The sequence below is a fragment of the Homo sapiens genome, chromosome 9 (assembly GCF_000001405.40).
Source record: "Homo sapiens chromosome 9, GRCh38.p14 Primary Assembly".
In the NCBI taxonomy this organism is placed as follows: Eukaryota; Metazoa; Chordata; class Mammalia; order Primates; family Hominidae; genus Homo; species Homo sapiens.
In genome coordinates this window covers 13,742,147-13,751,885 of record NC_000009.12, presented here as the reverse complement: position 1 = coordinate 13,751,885, position 9,739 = coordinate 13,742,147, and the positions used below count along the sequence as shown (strand labels likewise).

General features: G+C 39.9%; 1 annotated feature.

Moving 5' to 3' along the window:
• Positions 487-1,770: an enhancer, noted in NCBI's record as "VISTA enhancer hs852". NCBI's record gives its function as "enhancer in: forebrain[4/6] | facial mesenchyme[3/6]" and the evidence as "EXISTENCE:transgenic organism evidence [ECO:0001131][PMID:17130149]".

Genomic DNA, 9,739 nt, shown 5'->3' with positions numbered 1-9,739 from the left:
GTAATTGAAAGGCAAGTAAACAGGAGCCATGCATTTCTTTGACTTTTAAAATGGAGTATACATGAACATCAAATATTGAAATTTATCTAAGTATATATACTATTTTACTGATTTGATTATGTATAGCTGAAATGTTTCTTAACATATTATTCTAAGATGGTACTAGCAAAAGGAAATGATTTTCAAAAATGTTCTGAGGAGCACAAGAATGAAAACAAAATGATACCACACTATTGGGAAGCAGAGTCTGTGTAATATTATTGTTGTTACTGTTAATAATAATATTTCCTAATCTGTAGCAACATTAACTAGTATATAGTAAGAGCTTAACTCATGTTGAATTAAAAAATCAAAGTTCTATAATACTCCATCTTCTACAGCGTCTTATATTTTGAAGTCCTGGGTAGAAATGTCAGCATAATCAATAACTAACCTGCCAGCATAGCAGTGTAACAGAAATCTGTATCTTAAGACATAAAGAAAAATACCTCTACTCCCCAGGTCTCATAGATAGAAAATGAGCCGGTGATTTTGTAATCTGCTCATGTCTCATTGAAGTAATGCATTGTAGAACTGAAGCATCTACTAAGAGGACGAATGTGCAGTGAATTCAAACCAGTTAAACCTTAATAGTGTAAATGAAACCTTTAAATTGTGTGAACCACTAGCAGCCTTGCAACTCTTTACATGTGCAAAAAATTGAATGAACACATATGGTCACCATCAACTTGGTTATTTAATTCTGAGATGACACACGTATTGATCTAACTGAAAAGGGGAAGCTACTATATAGCTGGTTGTAATTAGCCCACCACAAATTTCTATAACTACTTCAGTCTAAACCAAAAGCCAAAATGGCATTTCATGATTACACCGTCCCACCCAGATTTGCATTTCTTGATGAATTCCCAAGGTTAGGATATGAGCCATACTGTAAAACCAACCCTCAATTACACCTTTTTAGAGGGGAAGATTAGTGGCAGGTGGTGCCTGCTATAAAAGCCTCATTAAAACACCTTCTGGTGGAGTTTCACAAAAGGAAGCCACCAGATGGAGACCCATCTCCACATGGCAGTCTTACCTCAAATGAGAGTTTCACCTGACACTTTGGGGACAGACAATTTTTTCTCACCTAACAAGCCACTGAGGTTCAAAAGACGATCTATTAGGATTAATCGTACTTGATCACTAATCCATTGTAATGCCATATGCTGAAAGCCTTGTTCACTGTTAAGCCTGGAGCCAGGTAGAGCCCCTCTGGTAATGTAAACCCTCCCGTTTTCCTGCAGCTAATCTAATTTCACCTCCTCCCAGACCTCGCATGCCAGGAATGATGCTTAACTCTTCCTCCACTGCCTCTGATGCGTTTTTGAATGGTAGCAAATCTGATCTCAAAGGTAATGACGCTGAAACCTGCTGACTAATTGGAAAATGATTTTCCTGGTGGTGGTGTTTAGTGGGGCGAATGGATAAAAGGTATTCATTCTATTGTGCACAAATTCAAAGACTTAGCCCTGGCCTTCTTATCTGCACAGCTTGATATTACTCATCTCCTCCTCTTCCCTCCTTCTCTAAATATGTGTTCGTTGAATCTGAATTTGAACAATCAGCCAGCTGGGCAGCAAGAGTGAAATTTATGCCTCATAGAGGAAATTCCATCACCTTATGCAGTCCTTGAAATGGCAAGTATTTTCTCCAGTGGTTTGCCTTTGGTATAGGTCCAAACCATTAAGTGCCAAACAGCTTAACTCACCACATACACGCGTGCACATACACATATATAGTTTTCTTATGTGTTTTGTGTTATGCTACTTACAAAGCACCACCCACAATGCACTTTCTTGCTCAAGGCCCCATATTTCTGAGTTGCGCACATAATCATACATACAGGTGATATGAGCCCCACACATTTTGCTCTATCCGTGATCTCCAATATGAGGAGTTAAATGGAATAACTTTCAAATTCCATGCAATATTTTATGATCACTTGGTTCCAGCCCTAAACAGACTGCTGGAGGGAATAGAGAAAATATTCCATCTGCAATGTACACTAAACAATGTCATCAAGATGACAAGAGTCGTCCTAAAGTCATACCATGCATTAAGCAAATGAGGCCAGGCCCCCAGTGCATACCAAATGCTGTGCTTCACACCTTCCTAAAAAGTGCTCCCCCAAATGCCATGCTATTTAAAGCATTACTGTAATTGAAAGATCTAATCAATGTTTCAAACATGTGATCCTAATATTGCATAACGACTAGATTGAGGGAAGGTGCTTATTAAAATGCAGATTCTAAGAGAATAAAATACCTAGGAATCCAACTTACAAGGTATGTGAAGGGACCTCTTCAAGCAGAGCTACAAACCACTGCTCAAGGAAATAAAAGAGGACACAAACAAATGGAAGAACATTCCATGATCATGGATAGAAGAATCAACATCGTGAAAATGGCCATACTGCTCAATGTAATTTATAGATTCAATGCCATCCCCATCAAGCTACCAATGACTTTCTTCACAGAATTGGAAAAAACTACTTTAAAGTTTATATGGAACCAAAAAAGAGCCCTCATAGCCAAGACAATCCTAAGCCAAAAGAACAAAGCTGGAGGCATCATGCTACCTGACTTCAAACTATACTACAAGGCTACAGTAACCAAAATAGTATGTTACTGCTACCAAAACAGAGATATAGACCAATGGAACAGATCAGAGGCCTCAGAAATAACCCCACACATCTACAACCATTTGATTTTTGACAAACCTGACAAAAACAAGCAATGGGAAAAGGATTCCCTATTTAAGAAATGGTGCTGGGAAAACTGGCTAGCCATAGGTAGAAAGCTGAAACTGGATCCCTTCCTTACACCTTATACAAAAATTAATTCAAGATGGAGTAAAGACTTAAATGTAAGACCTAAAACCACAAAAGCCCTAGAATAAAACCTAGGCAATACCATTCAGGACATAGGCATGGGCAAAGACTTAATAACTAAAACACCAAAAGCAATGGCAACAAAAGCCAAAATTGACAAATGGCATCTAATTAAACTAAAGAGCTTCTGCACGGGAAAAGAAACTATCATCAGAGTGAACAGGCAACCTACAGAACGGGAGAAAATTTTTGCAATCTATCCATCTGACAAAGGGCTAATAGCCAGAATCTTCAAAAAACTTAAACAAATTTACAAGAAAAAAAAAACATCAAAAAGTGGGCAAAGGATAGGAACAGACACTTCTCAAAAGAGGACATTTATGCAGCCAACAAACTTATGAAAAATGCTTATCATCACTGGTCATCAAAGAAATGCAAATCAAAACCACAGTGAGATACCATCTCATAGCAGTTAGAATGGTGATCATTAAAAAGTCAGGAAACAATAGATACTGGAGAAATAGGAATGCTTTTACACTGTTGGTGGGAGAGTAAATTAGTTCAACCATTGTGGAAGACAGCGTGGTGATTCCTCAAGGATCTAGAATTAGAAATACCATTTGACCCAGCAATCCCATTACTGGGTATATACCCAAAGGTCTCTAAATCATGTAACTATAAAGACACATGCACACATACGTTTATTGCGGCACTATTCATAATAGCAAAGACATGGAACCAACCCAGATGTCCATCAATAATAGACTGGATAAAGAAAATGTGGCACATATACAGCATGGAATACTATGCAGCCATAAAAAAGGACGAGTTCATGTCCTTTGCAGGGCCATGGATGAAGTTGGAAACCATCATTCTCAGCAAAATATCACAAGGACAGAAAACCAAACACTGCATATTCTCACTCATAAGTGGGAGTTGAACAATGAAAACACATGGGCACAGGGAGGGGAACATCATACACTGGGGCCTGTTGGGGTTTGGGGAGGGATAGGGTTAGGAGAAATACCTAATGTAAATGACGAGTTGAAGGGTGCAGCAAACCAACATGGCACATGTATACCTATGTAACAAACCTGCACATTGTGCACATGTACCCTAGAACTTAAAGTATAATTTAAAAAAATAAAAAATATATTTAAAAAATGCAGATTCTTAGACCTCAACACATACTACTGAATCAGAGTATCCAGAGGTGGAATCTGTGCAATTATATTTTTGTTAACAAATTTTCCAGATGCTTCTGGTGCACATTAGGTTTTCAAGTTGGCCAGTACAGTGGCTCACATCTGTAATCCCAGCATTTTGAGAGGCCAAGATCAGCAGATGGCTTGAGCTCAAGAGTTCAAGATTAGCCTAGGCAACATGGTGAAACCCTGTCTCTACAAAACATACAAAAATTAGCTGGGCATGGTGGTGTGTGCCTGCAGTCCCAACTCTCCGGGGGGCTAAGGCGGGAGGTAGAGGCTGCTGTGAGTCGTGATTGTGCCACTGCACTCAAGCCTGGGCAAAAGAGTGAGACCCTGTCTGTCTTAAAAAAAGAAAAAAAATTTTAAAGTCCAAGGAAAAGAACACAGGATCCCATTGCCCTTGATTCCTTCAGCCAGCAAAGCCAGGGCCCTCAGACCACTATGCTCCTCTTTCCTCATCCAGAAGGCCCTGTGACACTGAGGTCAGGCAAGACAGTGACACTGGTTGGACAAGAAAGGGGACGAAAAATACCCCCACTGGCTTTCTGGATCAAATTTGTAATGTGCAAGGTTGCTGTGAGTGTTTTGTGTTAGCCAAACAGTATATATAATATGTCCCATACTGTACATGTTTACAAACCCTTAAAAAATCTTAAGTTTCTAACGACACCTAGTAAATAAATCACTCTAGCTTTGTTCTTATAGTTTATGTAGTCACCAGACCCCAGAGATAAAAATATAGCCCCAGCTTTCTGCAGCTGGAAGAGTTTATTTTGTCATACAAGAAAACTGCTAGATTTGGCTAAGCAAGAGGGAATCTCTTAGGATTTTTATTTTTACCAAAACAAAAAACAAAAAACACCTCAGTAGTCAATAGTAGTCTATCAGTTAAAATGAAGCAGGGAGTCCACACTTTTCTTATAATTACACACAGAGTATATTCCTTGTCTATCTGATACAATTGTCCTTCTGAAAAAGCTTGGATAATACCTAGTTTCATTAGTCTCCCCTTTTGTTCATAAGGACAACTTTTACTTTAACATATTAAGTCATGTAAGATGTAAACATTTTCTTATAAGTTTTGGTAATCATACTTCTGAGAGGTAGATCCTAGTTCATCCTCAGACAGCGGAAACTGACCTTGTCTTCCTCTACCCCACCTGTAACCCACCTCCACTCTGAGCATCCATGGCATGAGTGCTTTGATAAAGGAGAAAGGAACCCAGGAGTGAGGAGTATCCTGCACTGAAGACTGGACTCAGAAGAGACAAGTCAAAGAGAGATCAGCCAGGATAGGCCTCCCCTAGGCTGGCCCTGGGGCCTAAATCTAACCATCAAGAACCATATGATCCTCTCTCTGTATGCAGGAGAGAATTGACTCTGGCCTGGTGAAGAACATGGGGGATCAGGAAAGATCAGGAAGCAGCTGATTGGGCAAGGTAGCAATCTTTCTGCGGTGAAGTCCCCATTTTCCTTGGGACTTGGTGGGACCTGCAGTGCGGTAGCGAATTATTCCCAGGTGCGTGGGTCTCTAAAGAAGCCAGAGGCATCAGGGGGGCCTCCTACTCCTTGAGTATTTGTGAACTAGGACCTAGGAAAAGGGTCTGAAGGTTTGTGTCAACAGCTGACCAGTGAGGACAATCTGATCCCTAGTATCAAGCTCTCAGATCCTGTTTCTACCTAGAGGCTGGTTAGGCCTAAAAATTTAGGTTCATCTCTAAAAGCTGAAACTATTTAAATTTGCCCGTTGTTGTGGTTTTGTTCTGCTTTGGTTTTTTTATGGTGTGCTCCTCCTCTCCTTATCTCCTTTTCTCCCTTGCTGGCCTGCTACTATTGGAAGAGAAAATTAACTCTGCCATGGTGCTTTTCAAGAAATATGACTTCCAGTGACTCTCAGAAAGCCATAAGGGTGAGGAGGGGGAGCTCAGAATTGAGTTTGTGACACAACAAACCCAAATGATTCTGAATTTTCTTTTTCTTTTTCATTTGCATTGTTTCTTTGATAGTAACATCTATTGCTATAAAATACTAAACAGCCCATAAACATCAGGGCACAGTTCAAAGCTTTTAGTATAAAATAGAGTGTTCTGCTTTGATAAGAAAAGACGGCAAATTCTTACAAGGCAGCGTTTATTTTTGTCTTCATCTACTATTTGTAGAACGTTGCGTTAACTCTAAATTTTCCTTGCCACATTTCCCTCAAACATGCTTTTTTCTTTTCCTTAGTTACTATTTCTTAATTTTATCAAAATGGCTTCCCGGACTCTCCCTGGTTCTCTCTGAAGGATTCTGGGTATTCTTCCTTTTAAAAGTTCCTGTTGTGGCTACAGGTTGGTCATCGCCATCTTCAGGAAGTATTTGTTCTTCCTCTTGACATTCTTATGTTTTTATTTCCCATTCCCTAAATAGTTTCCACTCTAAAGTCAGAATTTCTGTGTTTTCTAAGAATATAAAATATTTAAGTTTTATTCACTTGTGGCTGTTTGCTGTTCACATTTTTGTGGATTAGGGAAAAGTGAACACACGCATGGCTCAGTCTTCAGCTTTGCGTGTGCTAATATGTGGAAAAAGCTCTTGGTTCAAGAGTGAAGAGAGATGGTCATGATATCCAAACAGCAAACCCCCATTTTTTTCCACACTCCTTAGTCAATTTAGTTATCAAAATAAAATATATATTTTTTCTTCTGCAAAGCATTTAGAGCTTTTATCTTCTCCGGTTACCTCAGATTTTTCCCAAAGAAGAAATCTAAGCCCAATTAGGGTGAGTGAGGGGAGGGAGGGGCAGAATTAGGTACCAGAATCCCCAGCGACTGCTTTCACTGGAACGGACCACAAGATTCTCTCAACCAACCCATTTTTTTCCCCATTTAACTAATAGAAGGCTGGGGAGTGACCTTTGCAGGCCAGTGGGCAGGAGCTGAGAAATACTCCCCCAAATGAGCCAGGATGTATATCTGTTTACTACACAGCATGCTGGGCTGGAGCTAATGACATTAATCCCCCTACTGCTTTTCATTAGGTGACAGACAGGGAGCCACACTTCGGAGGGCATCTACTGCTTCTCCCCATCAGCCAGCTGCGAAGAGGAGTCGCTCTGGGAACAGCGCCGCCCTCCCCTCGTTTGCTTTTCTTCCTCTATTATTCCTGACATGTTCACTGAACTACAGACTGCATATGTTTAAAAATAATTAAACGCGCTCCAAACAAATAGGCAATGTTTCCACGATCCCTGCAATGAACGTTCTGCGTGTTTTGACAGATTTTTCTGTTCGTTGGATTCATCAAGCAGCCTGGCTCTTTGCTGTCATTCCCGACAACCTTACAGATAACCCCCCAGGGCAAACTCTTTGGCCTGAGCTCCTTTCTGGGCTCTGATCTTGGGCACAGAGAACTTCCAGCCTGAGAGTCTCCAGACCTTGGGGAGAATCCGTGTCTGGGCTCCCATGGCAGAGTGGTTCACAAATGGAGCCATTAGACAAAAGGCAGAAGCGCTAAATAAATGTGGGGCTCTGTTTTGAATGGCGCTGCTGTATTGCACTGAGAAAAGAGACTAGAAGGAAATCCTATGAGAACGCTGAAACACTACTGTGGGGCATCAGGACCATCCTCACCCCACCCCCTGGCCCCCCTGGCAAATCCTGATCTTCCACATCCCTGCATGTCACCCCCTCATTCTTATTTTTTAAAAACTAAAATTCCTCTATTAAATGATGAAGATAAAGGAGAAGATACAGCTTATAAAACTACATAAAACACAGCATAACCAAAGAGATGAAAACATGTATAAAGAAAGCTAATTAAAGAGAAAATAGAGTAAACAGGTAAGAAAGAGACTTGGTGAATTTAGGGCATAACAAAGATGCTAAAATTAAGAGAAGCCTAACTAACTGTTTTCCCAACAGAGACAAAGGTCTTCCTCATACAAAGAATACACTGGGATATCATCAACAATGTCCTCATCAGTATTCATTCAGGAAACAATTGATAAGTAAGAGTGTCTTTCTCCCTCAATATAGGCTTACTACATCTTGCATATCTATAACCACTCTGGAGGAATTTGGAGGAGTAAGGAGTGTGTGGATGTATATGTCTGAGTTGTCACAAAGGAGGAGGGTTGAGGGAGGAAGGGGAGGAGTAATCAATACAGTTTGATTCTGAACATGGCTGTAATGGTCTGTCTTAATCCAAGGACAGCTTTAAGAGAAACCGTAGGAATGGATATTCTTTAAATCCTTAGGAAATATGCTCAACGGTGATTTGAATCAATATTGACAGCAATTAATGTGCAGGGACATTAATTTACCCACTGACTGCTCTAACAGTTGGTGGTGTCCAAGGAAGTCTTAATATCATGTGAATATTAAAGAGTCAAGAAGAACCTGCAGGAAAGTTCAAGTTTCTCCACAAGAAGGGATTTTTTTTAGTATGCTGCAAAATTGTTCATCAAAGTACTAAATTCTACACCAAGAATTGGCAAACCACAGCCTGTGGGTCAAATGTAGCCTGCACCTGTTTTTGTGTGGCCTCTGAACCATAATCTGGGCCTTTTTTTTTTTTTAATGGCTGAAAAAAAATCAAAAGAAGAATAATATTTTATAACATGTGACAATTACTTGAAATTCAATTTCAGGATCCATAAATAAGGTTTTATTGGAACCCAGCAGGCTGTCCATGGCTGTTCTTGTACTACAATGGCAGAGAGGCAGCAGAGACGGTACCGCCTACGAAGCTGAACATATTTACAATGTGGCCCTTTGCTGAAAGAGTTTGCTGACCCTTGTTCTATACCATAAGCAATAGGTCATGACTACAATATTGTTAATACTTTTTCTGATTTCTAAACTAAAAACAAGTTCCCAATTGTTTAGGTTTTCTAGATGGCTATTTGATAATATGTACCAGATAATATAAAGCATGTTTGCCTTTTGAGTAATAAAGTCCACTTCTAAGGAATTTATCCAATACTGGAAAGTGGGAAACAGCATAGATACCCAACAATACAGCAAATGATTAAATAAATTATGATACAGCTATACAGTGAAATGCTCTACCCATTAAAAGAATGATTAGCTATGTGTTATCAGGACAAAAAAAAATTAGTTGGAAGTATTCTGGTTAGTCACGGTGGCTCATGCCTGTAATCCCAGCACATTGGGAAGCCGAGGTGGGTGGATCACTTGAGGTCAGGAGTTCGAGACCAGCCTGGCCAATGTGGAAAAACCCGTCTCTTCTAAAAATACAAAAATTAGCCAGATGTGGTGGTGGGTGCCTGTAGTTCTAGCTACTTGGGAGGCTGAGGCATGAGAATCACTTGAACCTGGGAGGCAGAGGTTGCAGTGAGCTGAGATAACACCATTGCACTCCAGCCTAGGCGATAGAGCCAGATCTTGTCTAAACAAAAGAAAACAAAACCAAACCAGATTGGGCTTTCATTGTGCTAATTGAGAAAAACTATGGAATTACCTGAAGCCTTGAAAGGTTAGATTTACATTTCATGGGCATGGAGCTACTTTTATTTTTTATTTTTTAATTTTTATTTATTTAATTTTTTTTAGAAGGAAATGAATCTGGGAAAGAAATGGATCTGGATTACCCTAGACCATTAGAGCCATGTTTGGGGCCTAAATGTATTGATTACTTGTCCCCTTCCTCCTTT